This window comes from Homo sapiens, chromosome 3, assembly GCF_000001405.40.
Source record: "Homo sapiens chromosome 3, GRCh38.p14 Primary Assembly".
Taxonomy (NCBI): Eukaryota; Metazoa; Chordata; class Mammalia; order Primates; family Hominidae; genus Homo; species Homo sapiens.
This window is the reverse complement of record NC_000003.12, coordinates 143,969,762-143,994,692: the sequence shown is the minus strand read 5'-3', so window position 1 is coordinate 143,994,692 and position 24,931 is coordinate 143,969,762. Positions and strand designations below refer to the sequence as shown.

General features: G+C 38.2%; 1 protein-coding gene across 4 annotated transcripts, besides 9 other annotated features; it reads right to left on the bottom strand.

Moving 5' to 3' along the window:
• Positions 1 to 2,324: 2,324 nt before the first annotated feature.
• DIPK2A (divergent protein kinase domain 2A) lies at positions 2,325 to 22,895 on the bottom strand. 4 transcript variants are annotated; one of them, NM_001363944.1, is made up of 3 exons: positions 22,794 to 22,895; positions 8,847 to 9,150; positions 2,325 to 5,183 (listed from the first exon to the last, which is right to left on the bottom strand). In NM_001363944.1, exons 2-3 carry the CDS (start codon positions 9,091 to 9,093, stop codon positions 4,852 to 4,854), a joined length of 579 nt encoding a protein of 192 aa, NP_001350873.1. In that variant the 5' UTR covers positions 9,094 to 9,150; positions 22,794 to 22,895; the 3' UTR covers positions 2,325 to 4,851. The 4 variants fall into 4 exon arrangements, with proteins under 4 accessions (NP_001350873.1, NP_775823.1, NP_001127942.1 ...); NM_173552.5 differs by having other exon boundaries at positions 21,704 to 22,870; NM_001134470.2 differs by lacking the exon at positions 22,794 to 22,895 and adding an exon at positions 21,131 to 21,612.
• Positions 21,135 to 21,394: an enhancer, noted in NCBI's record as "active region_20663". NCBI's record gives its function as "activates an Ori minimal core promoter by ATAC-STARR-seq in GM12878 lymphoblastoid cells {active_cell/tissue: GM12878}" and the evidence as "EXISTENCE:reporter gene assay evidence [ECO:0000049][PMID:35858748]".
• Positions 21,545 to 21,784: a silencer, noted in NCBI's record as "silent region_14800". NCBI's record gives its function as "represses an Ori minimal core promoter by ATAC-STARR-seq in GM12878 lymphoblastoid cells {active_cell/tissue: GM12878}" and the evidence as "EXISTENCE:reporter gene assay evidence [ECO:0000049][PMID:35858748]".
• Positions 22,275 to 22,924: a silencer, noted in NCBI's record as "silent region_14799". NCBI's record gives its function as "represses an Ori minimal core promoter by ATAC-STARR-seq in GM12878 lymphoblastoid cells {active_cell/tissue: GM12878}" and the evidence as "EXISTENCE:reporter gene assay evidence [ECO:0000049][PMID:35858748]".
• Positions 22,275 to 22,983: a biological region, named in NCBI's record as "NANOG-H3K27ac-H3K4me1 hESC enhancer GRCh37_chr3:143690552-143691132".
• Positions 22,403 to 22,983: an enhancer, noted in NCBI's record as "NANOG-H3K27ac-H3K4me1 hESC enhancer chr3:143690552-143691132 (GRCh37/hg19 assembly coordinates)". NCBI's record gives its function as "activates a minimal SCP1, AML or CMV promoter by ChIP-STARR-seq in primed H9 embryonic stem cells {active_cell/tissue: H9 hESC(primed)}" and the evidence as "EXISTENCE:reporter gene assay evidence [ECO:0000049][PMID:30033119]".
• Positions 22,984 to 23,564: an enhancer, noted in NCBI's record as "NANOG-H3K27ac-H3K4me1 hESC enhancer chr3:143689971-143690551 (GRCh37/hg19 assembly coordinates)". NCBI's record gives its function as "activates a minimal SCP1, AML or CMV promoter by ChIP-STARR-seq in primed H9 embryonic stem cells {active_cell/tissue: H9 hESC(primed)}" and the evidence as "EXISTENCE:reporter gene assay evidence [ECO:0000049][PMID:30033119]".
• Positions 23,035 to 23,124: an enhancer, noted in NCBI's record as "active region_20662". NCBI's record gives its function as "activates an Ori minimal core promoter by ATAC-STARR-seq in GM12878 lymphoblastoid cells {active_cell/tissue: GM12878}" and the evidence as "EXISTENCE:reporter gene assay evidence [ECO:0000049][PMID:35858748]".
• Positions 23,255 to 23,304: a silencer, noted in NCBI's record as "silent region_14798". NCBI's record gives its function as "represses an Ori minimal core promoter by ATAC-STARR-seq in GM12878 lymphoblastoid cells {active_cell/tissue: GM12878}" and the evidence as "EXISTENCE:reporter gene assay evidence [ECO:0000049][PMID:35858748]".
• Positions 23,395 to 23,504: an enhancer, noted in NCBI's record as "active region_20661". NCBI's record gives its function as "activates an Ori minimal core promoter by ATAC-STARR-seq in GM12878 lymphoblastoid cells {active_cell/tissue: GM12878}" and the evidence as "EXISTENCE:reporter gene assay evidence [ECO:0000049][PMID:35858748]".

The window sequence follows — 24,931 nt, the reverse complement described above, 5'->3', positions numbered from 1 at the left end:
GGTACAAGGCATGGCCTGCAGTTTCAACAATATTCATAGATAAGGGGAAAGAAAAGGCCGAGGTAGATCCCTAGAGATAGAATACATTAGTAGATCCATGTTGAGAAGAGTAATCTAAATCATTTGTATACATATGTGAGAAGCCTCAAGTTTTGAGGTCAAAGGGAACAAGATCTTACCCTTTCATGAGATGTTAGTTCTCTCATTTTCTACCCTCTTCAACCCTCCTCTAACCCTTTTTTATCTTGTATGTCACCTGAGATTCTTCTACCTCTCCTTGCCTTCCCAAATCTTCCCTTCCCCTACTTTATAATAATTGAAGAAATGATTTTTTTTCTTTACAATTATACGATTTTACCTTCAACTATATACTTCTGGGACTTCAAGCTGAAGAACTCGGGCAGTAGAAAAATTGGTGAAGTCAATCAAAAAATCAATCAGAACACTGAACACCAGCTCTACCACTACCTATTTTTGTGACTAGAGGCAAATAATCTTTGGGGGAAAAAAAAAAAAAAGGAACCCTACTAAATATTCTTATCAAAAATTTAAACTTACAGTTAACAATATAAATTAGTAAACTATGACTTAATATAAAGTAGCTACTTTGTGGTTTTTTTTACATGACGAGATGCAAAATTAAAATGGATGAGCTTACCCAAGACATTCACCTTATTGTTCAGTTGTTCAAATTTCAACTTTTTCAAAAAGTTGATTTATTCAAATCAGTATACAAAGGTAACACTTGCATTTTTGTGTTTCTTAAATCTTTTAATGGTCCCTCCTCCTTTTCCCTACAACTTGTTAAAGAAAACTAAGTTATTTATCCTGTAGAATCGCCTGTTCAGAATTTTGTTGGCTGCGCCCCCATGGTGTTCTTTAATGTGTTCCTTTGTGCTGTTCACTCTCCATTTACAGATAGGTGTAGGAGCTTGATTCGATTCAGGGTTTTTGTCTTTTGGCCGAACACTTCATAGGTAGTGCTGGGTACCTGCTGAGTCTTATCAGAAGGCACACTACTGTAAGATTGACCAGTGGGTTCCGGTGTTGCCATTCTCATCTATCCTTACAAGGTTTTTTATCAGTTTTTCAACTAATAGCCTCTGAAGCCATTGATGATCATTGCTTAGATTTGTCAAATTAATGGGAATTGAAAAACAGCGATATTCTAACACTTCTTCTGCATTTGTTAATTGAAATAATTCTACGTAGTCAACAAAATTTTCCCTTCATAATTTGATCATCCTGAGGTAAGGCAAGATAAATGTTTCTTTTTCTCCGATTTAGCAGTTTTCAGAATGATTTTTTCAATATCCTTTCGAAGGTTACCAAGGTAGTTTGTTGTTTTTGGTTGCTGGTTTTAGTAGCATTTTGAATGCATAGGTTTACATATTTATAACAACATGTTAGAATCAATTTCAGTTATTAGTCTTACTGATCATGAAATTGCTCCATGTATACAGCCAGTGGTTCAGAATCCCTGCAGTTGGATCCAGAGTTTCTGAGAAAAACAATGGTGTTTAAGTTTTCCTGCTTTGGTGATACTGAGTTTTTATTGTAATTTTTTAGATGTAAAAATAGTATTGTGAGGCCAGGCGCGGTGGCTCATGCCTATAATCCCAGCACTTTGAGAGGCCTAGGCAGGCGGATCACTTGAGGTACGGAGTTTGAGACCAGCCTGGCCAACATGGAGAAACCCCGTGTCTACAAAAAATATAAAAATTAGCCGAGCGTGGTGGTGGGCACACCTGCAATCCCAGCTACTCGGGAGGCTGAGGCACAAGAATCGCTTGACCCCGGGAGGCAGAGGTTGCACTGAGCCGAGATCGTGCCACTGTACTCCTGCCTGGGTGACAGAGCGAGAATCAGTTTCAAAAAAAAAAAAAAAAAAAGTATTGTGTTTTACTAGGAGAAAATGCGTAATATAAATCTGAGATGTAATGATACATCTCAGATTTGCTTCAAAATAAGCTGGAAGCAAGTAGTTTAGAGATGAAACTAGTTTTGCCACATGTTGTTAACTTTTGAAGTTAGTGTAATGATATACTACTGTTCATTATGTTATTCTCTTGCATACATTTGAAAATTTCCATAATGAAGTTTTTCTTTTAATTCCATTTTAGTGGTAAAAGTTTTTTAAAAACTCACTACTACAGAAAAAGAAAACACACATAACCTTAAAGCCTGGTGCACACCCAATCAGATAGTTCCCTCAAAATTCTAATTAAAGTGCATGCAAGAGGAAACTAGTAACTTATCTACTCAAACTCACTTTCCACTCAAGAAAAATGTGGATATCTGAAGTTAAGAAATAGTCTGAAAAGTGTGATTCTTAAAGTATTCTTTATTAAGATCATTAAAAGTTGTAGAAACAACTTTATATTATAAAGGCACAGGGAGACAGTTCAATAAAATATTCAAATTAACAGTAACTTACAGTACAAAAGACAATTTTAATGCACATACAAACCCCAAATGTCTGATTCAAAAATATTTTACTGCGTCTATTAATGGGCAATGATTAAAAATATAAATTGCTGCCATATAATAAATATCTGATAGTGAACATCTTGATAGCAAAGTGAACAAAATATTTATTGCTTTTCACTTACATATTTTTCCCTGTAATTTTAAATTCCTAATTCTTTTACTATCTTCTCAACTTTTCCCAAAGATAAAATAAATTTCACATAATTTCATGGAGGGGAAATGGTAGTTGTAAAAAACTACCTCAAGTAGCAATCACCGCTGGCAGTGTTTTCTCACTTTCTGTTCTGCAATTGCAATCACACTTCCAAAAAGAAAAGCAAATGTTTGCTAAACCATAGACAGACAACCTCTTTGTGACTGGTATTATAAGGTTTATAATGAAAACTTATCAAATATAAAAGGTGCTCCCTCTTGAAAATGTGTATTTTATTTGAAGTTTTGAGTAAGAGGTGAGTGTTTGGCAATTTTCAACACTCCCCTCAAAAATCTCCCAAAGTTGCAAAAAAGTCAGTTTAGTAAAATTCCAAGCACTTAAATGCTTCATTGAGGGCCAGTTGATATACGCAATGCACTAATGTGTAAAAATTAACCGAATGCAACTATTTTATAATGGAGAGCTCTTACCTTTTCCTTCCAGTTTTTAAACTGGCATAAACTTTATTGACTTCATCCTCCTATTTTTATAGCAACCTAGTTTTAGATGGTACAAGTTGAATTTCTATCACAAGACAATAAAATAACATGAAAGCATTATCCTAGTTAATGCTATTTCAACTTAAGAAATATCTACATTGAAGTATTTGATAATAATTGTAAAGTTACTTAACCGTATGTCATGTTCAGACAGTATGTAGCAGCTAGTAACGTGCCTGGCACAGAGTTGATGCTTAATAAATAGTTGCTGAATAAATGAAAAAGAAAAACCTGCCTTTGGTTGTGCATACTTTAATCACTTTCTGATTTAGAAAAAGATCAGTCTAGAGCTCACTACTGCACACTACATCAAACTTTGCTGTAAACAAAAGTAACAACTTCAAACAGAAAAATATTACCTGTTAGTGATAGTCAACTTATATAAAGAGCCCACACATTTCTATGCAAATAATTAAATTTGATGTTCTGATGTTTAACCCTTAGGTAAAGAAGACCAAAGTGTGCTGACTGGCTAATTTGTATGCTTTATAGTAATAATGATTAGTTCCTCAATAAATGAAAAGTTATGATGCCCGATTAAATTCAAACAATGGCTACCATGTTAATTTTGCAAAACTACCCATGAATAAAAGGTAGGATAACTTTAAATTACTTGAAAGCAGTAGTTTAACTTTCAACAGAAAAAATAATCAGGAAGATCTGAATTTAATAATGACAGAGCTAAAATACTGGAAGTAGGGTGGTAAGAATAAGTAGCTGACCAATTCTATTTTAAATTCTAAACATGAGATTAGGTGTAATATTTCTTTGGCATATGCATTACTATCTTGGACTAGTTAACACTTTTTAGATACTGGGTTGTATTTTTTTTCTGAATCAAAATTAACATCAATATATAGATTCTAGTATATTCTTCTTAAAGCCTTTAGAAAAGATAAAATGACATTTTGCAACATATGCCAAACTTCATGTTTAGTGTACACTTCTAATTATTGGCATAGAGGGATATAACTGTTAAATAACCTGAAATGACACCATGCAATGGTGAAACTACAGAAGTTGGTGAAAAGAAGTATTTACATAATGTAATATTTAGCTTTCTTTAAAAAAAAAAAAAAAAAACACAGTAAACCTGGGAATCCTGCCCTAACAGTAAATATGTACCAAATAGCACTGAATGACAACTATTAAAAATTTAAATGAACACCTACAGTAACCTGAATTTTCAAAATTTAATTAAAAAAAAAAAGGGGGAAAAAACCCTACACATCAGAAGGAAAAAGCGGCCTATAAAACAGACCAATCTGACTTGACATTCAAAGTAAATGCAAGAGATTCACAAAATCATGATAGTAAATGCAAACTAAGTACCAAGTACCCTTTGATACACAAGCCAATGTACTATCAGACTCATTTCCAATAGCTTAACAATATTCATTAATCCACTCAAGCATTCCGGGGTAGTGGGGAGCAGCTGATGACAGCTCAAGCCTCCAAAGTATAAGAACATACTTATTTGCAGAAGCATCATGTGATTTTTGAAGTAATGTCTTATTTTGATGGATGTTAACATTAAGATCTATCAGTGCAAGTTTATCATCCTCTGAATGTAACACTTCCAAATTTCATTTTTTCAGATCGTTTTTTGGTGGTTTAGTTTTAGCCAGTGCTGTTTAAATGGAGAAAAAAAGAAAAGTTCACCATAGACTACCTCACGTTGTTACTTAATTGTGCTAGGTATTCACGCAGTTCTTTTGCAGCCTGGAATCTGCCATAGCGCTTCTTTGGGTTGGCACACTCATCCAGCAAGGCCTCGAGCCGGCCATCTTTGGCAATTTCACTTGGTGGATCATGAAGGAGTCCTCCAGAAGTGCCACGCCAGGTGGCATGTCTGGATAAGAGGTTCTGACAAACAGCATAGTAATTGTGGTCCACAGTGGCACGAGCACAAAGAATTTCTTTTGAAAATGATAAGCAAGCCTCCTTATCACAGTCATCAAACTTGCTTTCATACCATACATCCCAATTTTCAGGTTTATCTGTGAAAGGAGGAAAAGCAGAAGTAGAAAAAAATTTTTTAAATAGTTTTCATTGCTTCCAAAAATAGAATATTTCACTAATTAATAGTATTTGTTCTACACTTTTAGGTAAAAGTATATTATAACCATAAACATTTAAATATATAAATTCATACAAACATTCACTGGGAGCCCACTAACGCTAGGCAGAAAGATTCAGAAAGGTCTCTACCACTTACAGGTTTAGTCTAGCGACTTTCCATCATACACAGAAAGTGCCATAAAGAAATATGACACAATGCTACAGGAATAGTGGGGAATTAAATTAGCACTTGTCCCTGGGGCTGTAGAAGGCTGCAAAAAGGAGAACATCTGATTTAGGTCTTAAAAGAAAACAAATCTGAAAAGAAACTAGGAAAAAATAGCATTCTAGGTTCAGGACACAGTATATGCAAAGACATGGACATAAGGGATTGCTCCATTTGGTTCACGAAGCAATAAGTTCACTGTGGCTAGAGTGTGAGAAACGTAGTTGGCAAGGAGATACAGGTGACGCTAGAAAAATAGGTCGTAACTTGTGTAATCACGACCATAATTTATTTTATAGAAAGATAACTCTGGGCTGAAGATTGGAAGGATTAAGATCATGAGAGCAACTATAGATGGCCCAGAATGAAAAGCTAGATTGGAGAAACATTTCAGGCAAAAATAATTAAGTATATGGGTAAAGTTTAAGGTTCTAATTGGATGACAAGGTATGTACAATTGCCATAATAGTGTCAATATTTTATATATAAACAAAATAAATATAAAGGAGCTATAAGGTATTAGGTGGGCATGTCATATGTACAACTAGAACTAGACTTGAAACTTATGATTTTGAGGTAAGAGGGATATTAGGCAAATTGAGAACACATAAGCACACATGTACTTGAAGGAGTCAAGGCTTGAAAAACAAATAGCTAGCTGTATAGGGAAGAAGGAAGAGACATTTTTGGAAGAGGAAACTGGGAATGCCCAGAAGTGGGCCGATTCATTCAGGAAAACAAGAGGCCATTGTAGCAGAAGCACCAAGGGCAATAGATGGAGGGGTATTAAAAATGAAGCACTCGAAAAACACATATATACACAGGCTGGGCGGGGTGGCTCACATCTGTAATCCCAGCACTTTGAGAGGCCAAGGTGGGAGGACTGCTTAAGCCCACAAGTTTGAGACCAGTCTAGGCAACACAGCGAGATCCCACCCTCTACAAAAAATTTAAAAATTAGCCAGGCATGGTGGTATGTGCCTGTAGTCCCAGCTACTTGGGATGCTGAGGCAGGAAGATCACTTGAGCCAGGGAGGTCAAGGCTGCAGTGAGCCGTGATCACACCACTGCACTCCAGCCTGGGTGACAGAGACCCTGTCTCAAAAAAGAAAAAAAAAAAAGGATCAGAAGAGGGCCAAGTCACACAGATTACAGATTATGCCCTGGCTTTAAGGTGTTTGGATTTTACTTCCAGAACAATGGGAAGTCATTAGAACCATTTAAGCAAAGGAGTAGTAAGTTAATGTTTTTTGAAGGTTACTATTCCAAAAGAAGGAAGGTTACTATTCCAAAGGAGGAAACAACTTCGAGAAGTTGATACTAGTCACAATCACTTCACAAATTTGCCAATTAGGTGGTTGCTAATGGCAAGGCAGAGGTCTACGTCAGGTTTTAATGGACTAAGGAATGAATAGAGGCTGAGGAAGCAGAAAGGCAATAAATACTTTTAAAAACAGTGGACAAGCAAGGAGAAGCAGAAGAGAGTCTTATATATACTTTTTATAGGAAGGCAAGAGAAGTTGGATATTAAAGGAAGGAGGTGGGACACTGAAGAAGATAACTGATGTAACAAGTTCTCAAAGAAGAATCTATCTGTTGCTGTTTTAATGAGGTTTAGATGATAAAGGACACTGGGGGAGTTGCCACAGCAAAATCTCAATTTCCCTGTGAAGAAATAAAATAAAGGTCATTTACTAGAAAGTGGAAAGAAAAGAGAGTAAATGAACAGACAGAGACTTTTGCAAAGTGACTATTTAGAGGACCCATGAGACATTTGAAAAGAAATGACCACAGTTAAAGCAGCACTAGAGCAATGCTCACTGTATGAAATGGAAGAATACAGAAGCTATATGGCTGGATTCATCTAAGGTCAGGAATTAGTAATAATTATTCCAGGAATGTCTGCATAAAATGAATTATAAAAAATTATTGTTATAAACACTGAAATAATTTTTTTAAGCTTAGGAAAATTGCACAACTCTATGAATATACTAAAAACCACCTGCTTGTGTACACTTTAAAAAAGAAAGAATAGTATACGCTGCTACAATATTCACAGATGTAGGAAGAGGTAAATAGAGAGTAGAATACTCCAGCAGGGTGTTCACTTCCTGTAGGAGGATCTACATGGCAAGTCAAGAAATAATCAGAAAAGTGGTCTGGTAAGTATAAAATCTGAAAAAGGGAGTGGGAAAAATCAAGTATTTAATAGGATCATGCCAAGATCATGCAAAAAGTAAATGTCAACCTAATATATGGCTGTCACATAAACTTTTCCCCAGGTGCCGTAAATTTTCAGCCTTTGTTTGTCAAAAGATACTCATATTACTTTTATCAGGGGGAAAGAGGGGATTAAAAAATATAAAACCCTCACCATGGAGCAACAACCCTTTGGTTTTGCTAACTGAATTGGTTCTAGACCTACAGGCTTTGTTCTTGATGCTTTACAACTTCTATGGCATTTAATTTTCTTTAATTTTCTTTTTTTTTTTTTTTTTTTGAGACGGAGTCTCGCTGTTGCCCAGGCTGGAGTGCAGTGGCGCAATCTCGGCTCACTGCAGGCTCCGCCCCCTGGGGTTCACGCCATTCTCCTGCCTCAGCCTCCCGAGTAGCTAGGACTACAGGCGCCCGCCACCTCGCCCGGCTAATTTTTTGTATTTTTAGTAGAGACGGGGTTTCACCGTGTTAGCCAGGATGGTCTCGATCTCCTGACCTCGTGATCCGCCCGCCTCGGCCTCCCAAAGTGCTGGGATTACAGGCGTAAGCCACCGCACCCGGCCGGCATTTAATTTTCAAAACACTTCAGACACTACTCATCTATCCCATGAAGAACTCAAAAGTAAATGGAGAGCAAAGTTTTGGGTGAGATGTAATAATCAGAATGTCAAACCAAACTCAGAGCTGCAGTGCCAGGGATCATCAAAATGGTTAAAAATAAAGTACAAACCATATTTCAAGAACCCATACAACCATTCTGTTTTTCACTTTCAGTACAGAATTCAATATATTACATGAATATAATTATATTCAACAGTTTATTATAAATAGGCTTTGTTTTACACAATTTCCCCCAACTTTAGACTAATGTAAGTGTTCTGAGTATGTCTAAGGTAGGCAAGACTAAGCTATGATGTCCCGTAGGTTAGATATATTTCAAATAACAATATTTTCAACTGACACCGGGTTTATCAAGATGTAACCCCCAGTAAGTCAAAGAGTATCTGTATTTGTTTATTGACAGTGGTCATATAAAGCAAAGAAAGACGCTTAAAGTTGCCATCTAAGGAGGAAATTCAAGGCTCATTTCATACAAGTATAAACATTATTTTGACATAGGAAAAAATGAGTAGAAAAAAATCTAAAATTATATACTTACTTTGTCTAATTAATCTTTTGTCAGCAACCAAAACATTTTCAGCATCCACAATGATTACCTTCCCATCTCTAGGACCAACTGCAAAATTGTCAAAGCTGACGTCCAGGAGGTAGAGTGCAAATTCAAAGTCATTGTTTGTAAGCTGTTCTGCTATTTCCATTAATTGCCAAGCGAGGTCAACTCGTTTTTCCCATGGCGCATTAAAGTAACTCCACAGTTCTTCTCCAACATAATTTACAGCCACCATTCTTCCACAAGCTCCAAGATACTTTGCAAATGGCCAACCTTCATCAGACGGAAAACTCTACAAAAGAATTATCTTAATATTACAAGAGATTCTGATGAAAATATCCTAGGTCTATCCTCAGATCCTTTCAGTAGAGATTGCTACTAGGAATGACTTTGGATTTTCTTATTACATTCAACAGTTTATTAGAGATTAACTTCATTTTTTCCTAACTCATACCAGTACTATGGACCTGAAAAAAATTTAAATAGAGAACTTTACATTATAAAGCTAAAATAGGATGACAAGTCTTGCTTATCAAAATCTAAGAACCAAAATGATCAATAAGAGGGAAGACACTGTCTTTATTACCAAATCTAAAAGTATTTATGCTTTCCCTTATCTTCTTCACTTGTGTAAATGTAATCAACCAATCCTTTTATTTAAACTGATAGCACTGCAGCCTATTAACCAGCAGTTATTTACCAGGCAACAGGCACTGTGTTACGGTGGCAATTAAGGGTGAACCAAACAGTCTCCATTTAGCCATGGGCTTTTATTTTAGAAGAGCATGCAGTCACCAAACAAATAATTATGAATATGAAAAGTGTTAGTTACTAAGCAGTGGTGCAGGTCCCAGGGGATCATTTAGTAGGGGCCTTTCCTAGTCAGGAAGCAGATGGGGTGGAATTCAGGGAAAGATTCTTGAGAGATGTCTTTTACCCTACATCCAAAGGTTGGGAAGGGACAAACTGATATCCTATTAATGCAACCTCCACTCTGAGCACATCTGGTCCAAGTTCATCTTGTTTCCCTTTCCCAGCCATATTTTCTGTTCTCCTTGGCCTAGCCTCAAAATTACTCTTATCTTAGCAAGGTTTTCTAATGGATTTTAAAACTACTGGCAGGATTATCATCCTAAATCAAAAAAAAACGTGTTCCATGACCATGAACACTCATTTTCACCTTAAGTAAAATAACAGGCTTTATCTAAGATACCTTCCACTGCTAAAATATGTAACTAGAAAATGAACATTAGAGAAAAAAAGGAATCAATAAATGTGTGTGTTCTGACTGCTCCACCAACTAGCCATCCCCAGGGAACAGGGAGGCCTCTCCTCAGGCCTCCCTGTTCCCTGAGACACAACAATACTGAAATTAAGCCTATTAATCCTACTATGGCCTCTAAGTGTGCAAATGAAAACAGTTACAGGTATCTCATTTGAAATCAAAAGCTAGAAACAATAGGTAGGCATAGTGAGGAAGGCACATCTAAAACCGAGATAGGCAGAAAGCTAGGCTTCTTAACCCAAACAGCCAAGCTGTGAATGCAAGGGAAATATTATCAAAAGAAATCAGAAGTGCTACGCCAGTGAACACACAAATGTTAAGAAAGCAAAACAGCCTTACTGCTAATAGGGAGAATGTTTTAGTGATCTGGATAAAAGATCAAATCAGTCACAACATTCCCTTAAGCCAATACCCAATCCAGAACAAGAACCCAACTCTCCTCAATTCTATGAAGGCTCAGAGTTCAGAAGAAAAGTTTGAAGCTAGCAGAGGCTGGTTAATGCAGTTTAAGGAATGAATTCATCACCGTAAGATAAAAGCGCAAGGAGAAGCAGCAAGTGCTGATACAGAAACCATAGCAAATTATCCAGAAGATCTAGCTAAGATAATTAATGGAAGTGACTAATCAACAGATTTTCAATGTAGATGAAACAGCCTTCCCAATACAAAATGTAGATGAAACAGCCTTCCCAATACAAAATGTAGATGAAACAGCCTTCCCAATACAAAACAGTTTGTATTGCTAGTGGTCTGGTTTTTCTAATCTTTTCAAAAAACCAGCTCCTGGATTCATTGATTTTTTTAAGGGTTTTTCGTGTCTCTATCTCCTTCAGTTCTGCTCTGATTTTAGTTATTTCTTGTCTTCTGCTAGCTTTAGAATTTGTTTGTTGTTGCTTCTCCAGTTCTTTTAATTGTGATGTTAGGATGTCGATTTTACACCTTTCTCGTTTTCTCCTGTGGGCATTTAATGCTATAGATTTTCCTCTAAACACAGCTTTAGCTGTGTCCCATAGATTCTGATATGTTGTGTCTTTGTTCTCATTGGTTTCAAATAACTTATTTACTTCTGCCTTAATTTTATCATTTACCCAGTAGTCATTCTGGAGCAGGCTGTTCAGTTTCCATGTAGTTGTGCAATTTTGAGTGAGTTTCTTAATTCTGAATTCTAATTTGACTGCAATTAGAATTGTGGTCTGAGAGACTGTTATGATTTTCTTTTGCATTTGCTGAGGAGTGTTTTACTATTTTAGAATAAGTGCAATATGATGCTGAGAAGAATGTGTATTCTGTTGATTTGGGGTGGAGAGTTCTGTAGATGTCTATTAGGTCCACTTGGTCCAGAGCTGAGTTCAAGTCCTGAATATCTTTGCTAATTTTCTGTCTCGTTTGTCTAATATTGACAATGGGGTGTTAAAGTCTCCCACTATTATTGTGTGGGAGTCTAAGTCTCTTTGTAGGTCTCTAAGAACTTACTTTATGAAACTGGGTGTTCCTGATCCTGGGAGCATGTATATATAGTTAGCTCTTCTTGTTGCATTGATCCGTTTACCATTATGTAATGCCCTTGTCTTTTATGATCTTTGTTGGTTTAAAGTCTGTTTTATCAGAGACTAGGATTGCAACCCCTTTTGTTTTTTTTGTGTTTTTTTTGCTTTCCATTTGCTTGGTAAATGTTTCATGTGTGTCTTTGCATGTGAGATGGGTCTCCTGAATACAGCACACTGGTGGGTTCTAACTATCCAATTTGCCAGTCTGTGTCTTTTAATTGGGACATTTAGCCAATTTACATTTAAGGTTAATATTGTTATGTGTGAATTTGATCCTGTCATTATGATGCTAGCTGGTTATTTTGCTCATTAGTTGATGCTGTTTCTTCATAGTGTCAATCATCTTTACAATTGGTATGTTTTTGCAATGGCTTGTACTGTTTTTTCCTTTCCATATTCAGGGCTTCCTTCAGGAGGTCTTGTAAGGCAGGCCTGGTGGTGACAAAATCTCTCAGCATTTGCTTGTCTGGAAAGGATTTTATTTCTCCTTCGCTTATGAAGCTTAATTTGGCTGGATATGAAATTCTAGGTTGAAAATTCTTTCCTTTAAGAATGTTGAATATTGGTCCCCACTCTCTTCTGGCTTACAGGGTTTCTGCAGAGAGATCTGCTGTTAGTCTGATGGGCTTTCTCTATTTAAAAATTTTAAGTAACAATTCCAGACATTCATCAAAAGATATGCTTATCTTCATGCACCTCCTAAACACCTACTAAAACGGCATCTACAAATAATGAACCCCCTTCCAAATAGAGTGAAGAACCACTAAATTAGAGAAACATCTTTACTGACCTCTAGTAATTTCTAATTCATAATGAAATATATAGACTAGTCACTAAACTCTTAAAAGCACTGATGCTATAAGAAACGTAGAGAGCATCCACAAGCACTAAAAATGCAAGAAACTTAAAAATTGGAAACGTGTACACACAAAAACACAGTATTTTAACTTGTTTTTTATTACTGATAAGCACAAAACAAATTCCAAATGCTGAAATAACCTAATAATCTACCTAGATCAAAATCAAATATTTTATGTGATCAATAAAGGAAATGTAAAATCCAAGAAATTTAGAGTTTAACTGTACCTCAATTGTAAATCCAGTTCAATCTTATTAGTACAGTGTTAAACGATTTACCTAAAGTCACACAGGTAGTAAGAAGCAAATTTAGGCCAAGCTATAATTATCTTTACAACAGTCAAAATGAATTCAAAAGATAGATTAACACAACCTCCCTCAAGCCAATATCCTTTTGTTGAAGTTAAACTTTATTAGTTTGGGGTGGTTTTTTTGGGTTTATTTTTTGTTTTGTTTTTGTTTCTGTTTTTGTTTTTGCTTATTTATCATCTGTTTAAGAATTTTTCAGATTTTATAAAGGTAACGGTTTATATATTACATAAGAGCATTCCAGAAGCCAACATTATGCTGGAAAAATAATGTTAAGATTGATTATTTAACCTAAGTGATCTCCACCCAGGCTGAGACCTAAAGGATGAGTTTAATATTAAGCAGACTGGAGATGGGGCAGTTCAGGCACATGAAAAGCCTGAAAGTATCTTCTCAGAAATGAATAAAAGACCAAAGCAGCTGCAGTGAAATGAATGGGGAAATGACTTGCGGTAAGGGAATCTGGAGAGTGAAGCAAGGACCAGATCATGTTGGGACTTATAGAATCAAACAGAAATCTTCAACTCAGTCTTTATAGCATCATCTATATGTATGCCATGCAAAAACAAATACATGTCAAAATCTTGATGTTCAGGATTATCTTACATACTGAAATCAAACAGTATGCTATGGTATATTTACCTTATTCTAAAAAACAAGCCTTTAAAATATCACGATAACCCTTTGATCAATATCCACCATCCTGCCAGGTTAATAAGGCCATTTCATTCTATCATGCCATAACACAGTCATGAAAAGGGTGGACATGGAATATATGAGTAAAGATACATAAAAGAATACATTTTGGTATTGTTTATTTACTTACAAAAAATAAATGACATGAGACTAATAGATTAAAATAGAGTCTACTTAAAAGTGCTTGTATTCTTTTTTCTCCTACATGACCAAAAATATTGTATACTAAATTTAAAAGATCAAAATTCCTTTTATACAATATAAAATATTTTATAATACTTCATTACCTCATAATATTCCATTAAAAGGAACATAGCTTTGCAGTTTGCCTTAAGAGAGAAAATAAGTACAGACCAAGAGATGTGTTACCATGCAAGACTGATTTTTGTTAAACTTGAAAGTTCTTAGTATAAACAAACTAACTTCAAAAAAACTATTAATAAAACATACAATCTAAAATGTGAATATCGATTTTCTACATAACTGGCATTTCTACAAAAAAAAAAAAAGTTTAAGCTTGAAAACACTCTTAGAAAGTATATGTCATCAAAAGCATAGAAAATGCTTAAAGGGGCCAGGCGCGGTGGCTTCACACCTATAATCCCAGCACTTTGGGAGGCCTAAGTGGGCAGATCACCTAAGGTCAGGAGTTTGAGACCAGCCTGGCCAACATGGTGAAACTCGTCTCTACTAAAAACACAAAAATTAGCCAGGCGTGGTGGTGAGCACCTGTAATCCCAGCTACTCGGGAGGCTGAGGCAGGAGAATTGCTTGAACCCGGGAGGCAGAGGTTACAGTGAACTGAGATCACGCCACTGCACTCCGGCCTGGATGACAGAGACTCCATCAAAATAAAGACAGACAGACACATAAGAAAGAAAAGAAAGAAAGAGCTAACTTAAGTTTTAAAATTATTTTTTAAAGCCCAAATTTGAATGAAATCCCATTGTAGTAACGCATGTTATAACAGCTGTTCATAAAGATTAGTCAACTGTACTGGTGACAGACTAATGTGTTCACAGTTTGGTGAACTGTCTGGAGGGGAGATATAGTAAAATTACGGGGATGATTTAATGGTTACTGAATTTTTGCTAAAATTTCTCTAAGATCTTAGCTTCTTAATTTATACTGCTAAATAGCAGCCAAAATCCATTGCAAATACTGTAGAAGCTTAACAATTTCAAGATTTTTAAGTCCTAGCATATGTCCCATTTATTTCATGAAATAATTTTCTGAATGCCATTTTCCACCCACCTCAAATTCCAACAATATTAAACAATGCCTTGAAAATAGTAAGGTTGTGTTATTTTACTGAATATCATGTCCAACAGCTGTATCTAAAATTGGAAACTGATGTCAAAACACATTTTAAAAACTAAATTTAATAGAAATAGATTATCTTTTAGAATAAATTGCTTAAGAAATGCTGCCCCCACCAAAAAAAAACACAAAACAAAAAACACTTCACTTGTTCACAAGTTTTAAATATGCATAAGTTTACTAGTCTCAACTGACCCTTACTGTGTCCCAGGGGTATATACAGATCAGTTCCTGGCACTATTGACCAATTCCACATAATTACTGTCAGATCTTTTCATTTCAGAGTTAACCCCCAAAAAAGCATTAGAAAGAAAAAATACGAAGACACTGAAGCATCATACTTACTTCAGATTACAAATCTTTTAAGATTCTGTCTCAGAGTCTAAGGTCTAGACTTAACCTGTTTTTTTGTACTACCATTTACCAATGTACTAAATAGAATTACTAAACTATAATAATGATTTACAGAGAAAAAAAGAAACTATTTGCCTTTTACTTCTTAATCCTTATCTAAACCGTCTTTCCTACCATATTCATTCTATTCATTACACTTCATATGAGACAAATCCCTAATCCCCTTTTAAACTACTATTTTTAAAAAACTATAGCCTGAATAGGTACATATGATTTACGTATATGTAAGGACAGTGACATTTGAATGTCTGCAATAAGAAAAGTAGGATTTTTACATTTCTAAGACAGACATCAGCATAATGTACTAAAGAACTTTTAACTACTATAGCTGTCTAAAAATGGAATAAGCTGATTTTCAAAGAAATAATACACTGTAAAAAGCTTTACAACTGAAAACATTTAACAGATATTACTTGAATAATCCTTTCTTCTTTAATCTTTAAAACAATCCTGTTAGGTAAGTATTAACAACCCCATTTTACTGATTAAAAAAACTTAGAATCGGAAACATTAAGTGACTTGCTCAATACCATCCAACAACTTTGTGGTAATACAGAATGTGAAATGGATGCTCTATCAATACTGCCCCCTCCACCCTTCCTCCCACTCTCCACCCCCATCTATTGGCAAAATCTCTGAAACTTTCCCTGGTACCATTCCTATCAATATACAATGAGATGTCCCTCCCTGAGTCATGTGACAGTATATATATATATATATATAGATATATATATATCTATATATAGATATATATATATATATATAGATATATATATATATATAGATATAGATATATATATATAGATAGATAGATAGATATAGATACCTTTTGTACAGGGCTTATTAAATGGATTGTATAATAATTAGTTATTTGTGTACCTACCTCCTACATAGTAAGCTACTTGTTTCCTACGGCCATCTTTCCATCCTTTCAATCCAAATGCCTTGTAACAGATTGTAAAATGAACAGACAAATTCAGTTCTTTTGGTTATAAATTCAAAGAGCTCTCAAGAATTTCACAGACAACTTCCTATCACCTTATACTAACCTCACCTTACACTAATAATTTTCAGTCATGTTACAACCATTTACTAAAGTTCATCAAATGTATTAGAAAAATGCAGGATTTAAATTATAAGGCCATAATTTAACATATGGGTAATGAGTGAAAGCTGAAGAAAGAAAAAAATAGCATTCTGTGAAGAGTCAGCAGCAATGACAGAAAAATAGGAAGTAAGCCAGAGCCCACAAACCAAAAAAACAGAATAAAAACCAGTCTGACAATCCCCTGAGAAGCTGGACACCCATGTCCAGAAGACCTATAAAAACAAGCTTTCTATTTCCCAACATGTGTGAGAATATGTGCTAACCTATGCAATGGAAATATAAAGAATAGTTCAAAGACTAGACAAAAGTATACAAAGGACAAAATTCAAAATGGTCAAAAGATATGGATATGTCCAGAAACTAGTCCAGGATGTCAAATGACTTTGCTCTACTGATTCTGAAGTGATGCTTTCTTAAGGGCGATTGTCTGTTTCTAGGGTCTTTCTAAAATAAAAGTCCCCACCCCCTTTTTGGACTTGAGGTATCCAAAATTGTTTTATTATTTTTGTTTGATTATCTTGAAGAGCAATCAAAAGTGTCAATGGACTCTCAGATGAAAAGCCACAAAAAGTTCAAAAACTTACAAAATTTATTAGATTAAAAACTGCTCTACTAAGAACCATCTCTAATGTGTTCTGAAGCCGAAATCTAGGAAGACAGTTACTAAAGAAACAGCCAGTAAAGGAGAAGTAGGTGGTTCCTTAAACTGTTGTTTGAAAAGAAACTCCTGAAACAAAGTCTGGAACATCGTTTTGCACACTATTGCCTCACAAGATCCTTGGCTACCCTTAACTCCACATATTTCCCCTTAAAGGAAGGTTTTGGTTTTTGTTTTATTTCATGTGTGTAAAAATTTGGGGGTAGGAAGAAAGGCTTGAAAGAGAGCATCCCACTCCCAATCCCCTTTCAGAAGAGCTTAATTAAACCCACTCGTTAAAGTTCAAAAGAAAACAACAACAACAACAACAACAATAAAAACCAAATTTCTCAAGAGTTTGAAAGCCCCAGAATGTTGGAGCTGAAAAGGATCTAATCCAATAGCTTCATTTTATAAAGAAGGAAGTGAGTCCAATAGTAAAAATCTATCAACTTTTCTAAAGTACCGTTAGCTAAATAATCTTTTGTTTACTTCAAAAACTACATTTTCACCAGTGAACTTAAAAAATATGTTGTTCCCTATATAAATTACTTTTAAAGGCAAAAACAACATTCACTGAAAGTTTTCTACAAAAAATTATATCAAAGTAATAATGGAAAAAAATCAGTATAACTAAAGTATGGTTGATATTCAAAATCACCATTATTTTTAAGGTGATCCATACCCCAAATGAGCTTCAAAACAGCTGATCAAATGCACCAGGCAGTTAAAGTTACCTTTACTTTATTCAATATCTAACATTTATTGAATGCTTACAATTTACCAGATACTACGTGAAGTGCTTTGCATGTATTATATCATTTATAAGAATAGAAAAGCAAGCTTAAAAACCATAGCTTAATGATAGTCATATACTATAAAAATAAAGTAAATCCTATTAAAACCATGATTCAGAAAATTTAAGGCAAATGAAGTTCCACAAATAGTAACATTCCCAGCTCGTCCCCCTAAACAACAAAGAGCTTTCTCCATTTCCTACAAACAAGACCATCTTCACTACTTCCAGGTTATAAAGTCAGAGATTCTGTCTGAACTTCAACAAATCCAGACAGCATCTCTCTCTCTCTCTCTCTCTCTCTCTCTCACACACACACACACACACACACACTCTCCCTTTCTGTAAATTCAATAGGTTAAATACAAATACGATGGAAAATTTATCAACAATAACTTGTGATCTTGCCAATTACTTCAACAACTCAATTTTTGAATACTTCAAGATTCCTATTTACACAATATAAAAGTCAACATAGTTCCTCTCCTCCATTTTTTTTTTCATAGGATTACAGTATACCTGGCACTAAAATACACACATCTTAGTGAAGTAAAAATGTGACGACGAGGAAAGGGTATCAGAGTAGAAGATAAAGGTACTACTAGCATTATCTTGTTGCTTGATGTTTATAAACATTTTTTAGAAGATAATAATTCTATGGGTAAACTGTTGTAAACTAGTGAAACTATCCAACAATAAGAAGAAAGCCATACTCTCATGCCATTTCATATGGGGAAATTTATATCACAAATCTTTACAGCCTTACATAGATAAGGTATGTGTGTAAACATCTTAGACACTTAATGTCTTTCACCTCTCCTTTCAAGGAATAATAGCAACTTCAATTTTTTACTGTTTTTTCAAATCAGAAGAGGTGAGTTTAATGGATTAAATTCGTAAGTATTTTTCAGTTCTTAAACACCTTATCAAAAGAAATTTTTACATGCTTATTTTGAAGCATGCTTACGATACTGGAAGTTTTGTTAAGAATACTTGGATGAAGTCAGTTCAAAGACTTTTTTTTCCCTGAAGTTGTTAATTTTTGGACAATATAAGAAAAATCTAGTTTGTCACCAGCTGTCCAAAAATTCGACAAGTAGCTCCCTCTCCTGGAGGAAAAAAGTGAGTTCCTCTTCAAGCTGTTAAAACACTTGTACTCTTAAAAATATATTTTTTAATACATGAAGCAATAGACAGCCAAATCTGAGTTTTTCTGTATCAATTAATATCCCAGTATTACTGTAAACAGCTATAAACAGTTTTATAAAAACCTGTATAAATACTAAAAATGTAGTTTCCTAGCTAACAAAGGTAATGAACATCATGGTTTGACTTACTGTACAGCAACTTTTGTACTTGATCACAGAATGTTGAGATACCTTTCATTTTGGTGGTTTTATACAATCATCAAACCTCAAGTATATTGTTCAGACTTGTAAATTCACTAGCTTTTTCCAAAGATCAAGTGATTCTACAAAGAAAGCAGCGGCTCTCTGAAAACTCTTACTTAAAAATATCTTCTTCCTCTACTTGCTTGTTAATCAGGTTTTAAAAAAATTACATGCCTATATGACTGGCTGGTACTAAAGACCCCAAAATTATATTACACAGTATGTACTCAGCTATAATTATAATACATATATTAGTATTAGTACTATTCCTGGGAACTGGGTTGTGTAAATTAAAAATGTAATTTACAAACCTCACTCTAAAACGTGGAGACATGTTTCATCACATACTAAAAACAAATTCTTATCCTATGGCCCATGTGTTTACCCACTCAAAGTAGCTGTGTCATTATGTGTCATATATAAGAAAATAATTGTGCTTTTTCAAAAAAGGCTGTTTCATCACTAAAGATGAGAACAGATAAAGAGTAAGTTTGAGGGAAAAGTTAAACAGAAAACAAGATACACGCACACTTGACTATCTCAACTACAAAGTAAACTGAGAATGCCATGAGAAGTTCAAACTTAAAAAAATATAAAACCTTCCTGCACAAAGCACAAATTTACCTTAGTGTAAATCAGATGCCAAAGTTTCTCAAATTCAATGCTATGACTACACTTAAAAAGAACTGGCCACATAATGTTCTTAAAATATCAATTCTACTGTTAGTTGTTACTAATACATCACTATTCAAAATTACCTAAAAAAAAAAAATCTTTCGGTAGGGACGCCAGCATTTTAAGTACAGTAAATGTATATTACTAAGACAGCTCCTTGCTAAATTTCTGGGTCTCAGAGAATTTGTCCGGGTATCTACTTCAGCAAAATGCTAACACGATCTCCAAGAACCAACCTTGCTAATACAAACAAGGTTCTCTTTTAAAGATAGCTTAATGAGAAACTTCAGTTCAAGTGTATGTACATCATAAATACAGGCTAAACCTTTAGAGACTGACTAGTTTGGGAACTACTGAATAAAGAAAATTTCTTCAAGGAAAGTTTAACCAGTTTTATGCATCCATTCAGTTAGGTGATACAGCAGTATTTAAAACACACTCTGACTTTAAAATTAACCCAATACACATAGCCTCTGATGTCCTAAAATTTACTAAGACCCACACTAAAGTTTCATCTGAAGCCAAATATTTGTGTTACATTATTTGGCTGAACTAATCAAACGAAGCTGGTTTCTTTTAAAGCTAAAATGGGCAGTGTAGAGCTTGAGAAAAGAAAATAATATAAAGAAATCTGCACTTTCCTATTCATGCATTTTAGAAAAATAAAAAAAAAAAAAACCCTGTACCTCCAGCCCTCAGTGACAGCAACCCAGAAAGAATGTGAAGTATACCAAAATTACTTGTGAACTTTTAAGTCATTTTTTTCTCTTGTCATGGAAAGGAGCACGGTAACTTTTCCTGCAGACAGAAGGAGAAACCACAACCCCACAGTTGTAATCACTGTTCAAGGACACCGCACTGAAGCTGGGTGGGAATGTGCAGAAACAAGCAAATACTCCGAAAGTAAACAGTGTTTTTGTTTTTTGTTCTCTTTTTGATGTCACCAGTAAAGATTCCATCCTATTCCCCTAAAAGGCACATTACTTTTCAAAACAGTCAGACGAGAGCAAACAACGCAACTGGCGAAAGGCAAGAATCTCCTTCCCTGATACTCGCCCTGGCCTAATATTTCATCTCCCTTCAACTAGATTACCAGATGAATAGGGCAGGTCACAGGATCAGGATGAAAACGTCTGTCTGGCCTTAAGCCCTCCCAGCCCCAAGTCCAACGCTGCCTTACTTTTCCTGTTTCTGATTCTAATCCCACCCAAAGCTCGGCTCACAGATTAAACCCACCCCGACCACTGTCCCGTTCTCCGACTTCATCCTCCCCAACTTGTCCTCGAATTAGGTGTCCAAATGACTGCCAGGTAAATGAGCGAAAACAAAGACTCTGAGACCGAAGTTAGGCCAGCCACCAGCGCCAGAAAAGGAAGAGCGAACGCGGTGTAGAACACTTCAGAAGAACTAGGAAAGGTCCAAGGGCTCGTGAACAGTCTGCGCCGCGGACCTGCAAGCCCCGGCAGATAAAAGCAGAAAGGCAGGGTAGAGAGCGGAAGGAAACTCGCAGTAGAGACATTTTGGGGAGTGTTAAGAGACGCACTCCCTCTGGCGTTGAAAGATCCACAGTCAAATCCGAAATGCGCCCGAATCTAGGTAACAAGAGCAGACTCTCCATCAGCGGGGTCGCCCTCGGCCTCCCTGCACAGCCCCGGGGCTCCCCCGGAGACGCCCCTTCCCACGCCTGCAGCCTGGCCCAGCCCGGCCGAGTCCGAACTGGCGGCAAGCGCTGGCTGAGCCACTTCTCCCGACTCTGATTCCCACGCGCGGCCCCTCCCAGGACGCCCCCTGCCCTGGCTCCGCGCCTACCTGTAGCACCAGCGGCTCGGGGTTGAAGGCCAGGGTCAGCAGCAGCTGCATGCGCTCCGAGTCCTTGAGGTTGCGAAGCAGGAAGCTGCCCGAGTCCTTGGTCTCCGCGTAGCGGCGCACCAGGCGGTCGAGAAGGCGCTGCGAGGGGCAGTGCACCAGGTCCGACCAGCCCTCCACCGCCTCGGGCGTGAGCAGACGCACGTCGCCGTTGAGGCGCGCGAACTCGGTCCGGGGCATGGCCTGCAGCAGGTCGCAGCGGGGCCGGCCGGTGGCCCGCTTGCAGATGCTCTGGTCGAGCTGCGCCAGCTCGCGCTGCGAGCCGAGGCGCTTGAGCACCACTCGGCGGCGGCCGCCCTCGCGGGGCTCGCCGTACTGCGCGAAGTACACGTTCTTCACGTTGAGGAAGTCCAGCAGGCGCAAGCGGCCCCACGCCTCGAATACCACCTGCCCGTTGAGGAAGCGGCGGCACCAGCTCGTGCCGAAGCACGCCGGGCACTTATTGAGCTGCAGGAAGCGCCGGTCGGTCAGTTCGTTGCGCTGCCAAGAGGCGAGCAGCGACGGCGAGTGCAGCACCATCAGCACCAACAGGCTGCCCAGCGCCGCCAGCTTCAGCGAGCGGGACAGGCGGCCCAGCTTCGGGGGCACCAGGCGCCACATACCGCCCGCCCGCCCGCAACGGGAGGGCGAGGGCACCCCCGGGGCGCCCCCGCCGCGCCAAGACCCGGAGAGCTACCGGCAGGAACCCCGGGCGAGAGAAGGAGCTAGCGCGCGGGCTGGGGCGGAGGGCGGAGTAGGTGTGTGAGAGAGGAAGACGGGGAGCGGGAAGGCGCGGGCCTGAGCGGGCTGCGACTTCTCCCAGTCACTAGTCTCCACAACTCTCGAGCTCCCTCCTCCTAGCTCCCCGCCCTCCGACTCCGGCGGCGCCTCCTCCACGCCAGCCAAGTTATAGAGGAGCGGGAGGGGGAGGGAGCGCGGGGACCCGACGGTCGCGCGCCCGTGCCCGCGCGCACGCGCACTGCTGGCTTCGCACAAGAGCTGCGGCGGCAGCCAGCCACGACAAGTGGGGTCTGCGAGGAAAGGAGGGACTCACGGAAGGGGAAGAGGAGCTAGGATGTCTCACACCCACAAGCAGCAACGCACGTCTCAGAGCCGCACACCCTTGCTTGTGCGCGCTGGCTCTCCTGAGACCAAGAAGGGGAGCCGGGGGCGGGGCCAGAGGGGCGGAGCGAGCGCGTCGCGCGCCGCCCGGAAAGCGTAAGCGGGAGCTCGCGGGAGCGGGTGTGGGGGCGGTTCAGAGAGGGGGAAGCTCGGGCTCTTGAGGTGGGGGCATGAACTCGCGGTTTCTGGTTTCAGAAAGAGTCTTAATTACAGTCATCTTTTATGATTATTGTGGTTTACTGGTGCGTTCCTTTCACTATTGTGGAAACGGCCCTTTAAGGGAGGAGGGAATAAGAAGAAATGAACTGAGGAAGTCTATTGCAAATCCTTCCCTCTGGACGGCGCGCGAGGCGGAGGCAGAGCTGGCGCGATTGCCTCCCCTCGCCTTATATGGGTTGGGTGCGCGCCTGGGGGGTGGGGCGAGGCCGGGGAGTGCCCGACGGGGGCTTGTGTTCCCCTCAGCTCGTGCTCCTCGCGGTAGGGGGTGGGGCCTGTGAGGAAGACGGTGAGAAAGGCTCGAGTAGTGGCGGGTTTGTTGGAGCTTCATCTTTGGGGTTGTATCTGTAAAATCATTTAAAATTTTCTTGAGTGAGCACAAAATAAAGTTCTCAAGCCACCGTGTTAAAGGGAAAATAGGATGAAGGGGAACCGACGCGGCCTGGTGTCGCCAGGACGTCTGCCCCAAGCGCCGCGAAGAAGCCGGGAAGAGTTTGCCAGGCTTGCCTCTGCTGCCCGCCGGCTGCCCTAGCCCGTCCCCGGAGCCCTGCGGTTCCTCTCCGCAAAGCTGATTTCCCGGTGCCGCCCCTGAGGGTCCCTGAGGAGCGGGCCGCGAAGCGTTGCCCTGGCGGTAGCCATGGGGACCCGGGGCTGCTTGGTGCTCCGCACGGTCACGTTGACTCAGTCACCCCAGACTGCAAAAGTAAGGCGCAGATGCCGCACGAAAGCACTGTGTTTAGGGATAAGTTTCAGGGGACCCGGACTGTTTAGCAGTAGCGCTAGTAGATACATTATTATGCTATTCACTTTTAGTGCTAGAGTAGTTAAAATGAGAAGTGATTTTTAGTCTGAGGGACAGGTGGTTCCTGATACGTTATTAAACAACTGAGTCTTAACTGAGTTAATTTTAGGGCTTGAACAGTGCTTTTAGAAGACCATGGTAACTGGCATGTGTAGATCAACTCTACAGCGGGTTAATAAGAAACATCTATACCAGGTTATCAAAAGTAACAATACTTTCAGTATTGTTTAATTGTAACAGGTATTTGTTACAAATTCTTATAAGAACTCAGATTTTGAAAAAAAAACTTTGAGAAATTTAATAAATTCAAAATAGACGTGATTTTGTAACGATTTGCATTGAATACGGACAGACAAATTGAAATAATATTCAAAGCTTTCTAGAAATTGACTTACTGTACTTAAGTTTGGCTACTTCTGCCTAGTGCCTTATGCCGCCTTTGGTGGGAATTTTATTTAACTTGCTTTCAAATATCCCCAAACTCCATATAATATAGAGTTAAAAGCTCAAGTGAGATTTTCTTAGGAAAAGGAGTTTGGTGTGATGGTTCTGGAGACCTGTGCTGTAGTTCAGCTGTGAGGCTGCTGCTGCTGCTGAATTGTAAACAAAGCAAGTTATTACTTAACTACAAATTTCTTCTTTCTGACATCTTTTCTATATGCCTCATAAATTTGTTCGATTAATAGTAGACAATCTATTTAGAATTGGTTTAAAACAATAAAAGTACTACATAAGTTGCCATTAAACTGATTAAGCTGAGAGAACCGGGGCATAGTGAGACTATTTAGGTAACTAGTAACAGGATTAAGGAGGTACCTGTACTGCTTCTTTGTATCGAATAGGTCTTTGGAGTTCTTAAACTATTCTCAGCCTCCAGATGCTTGGAATTGTATAGGCATCATTTGAAACATGGAAATAAAACACGGTTACTAGTCTACACAATTTGAATTTTGAAAAACATTTGCTCTGCATCTAAGTAGTTTACATTTGTTTAAAAGCTCTGATCTTTTCAGTTAAATTTTCTAGATGTTTATCAGGAGAGATAGTTTTCA

What these genes read in the sequence shown, in the direction of transcription:
- DIPK2A (NM_173552.5), bottom strand. Translation starts at nt 22,360, where the DNA reads ATGTGGCGCCTGGTGCCCCCGAAGCTGGGCCGCCTGTCCCGCTCGCTG. An exon ending in CCGAGCCGCTGGTGCTACAG is followed by an intron (nt 9,151 to 21,703) that starts GTAGGCGCGGAG and finishes ATTCTTTTGTAG; the next exon opens with AGTTTTCCGTCTGATGAAGG. An exon ending in CAAAAGATTAATTAGACAAA is followed by an intron (nt 5,184 to 8,846) that starts GTAAGTATATAA and finishes CTCCTTTCACAG; the next exon opens with ATAAACCTGAAAATTGGGAT.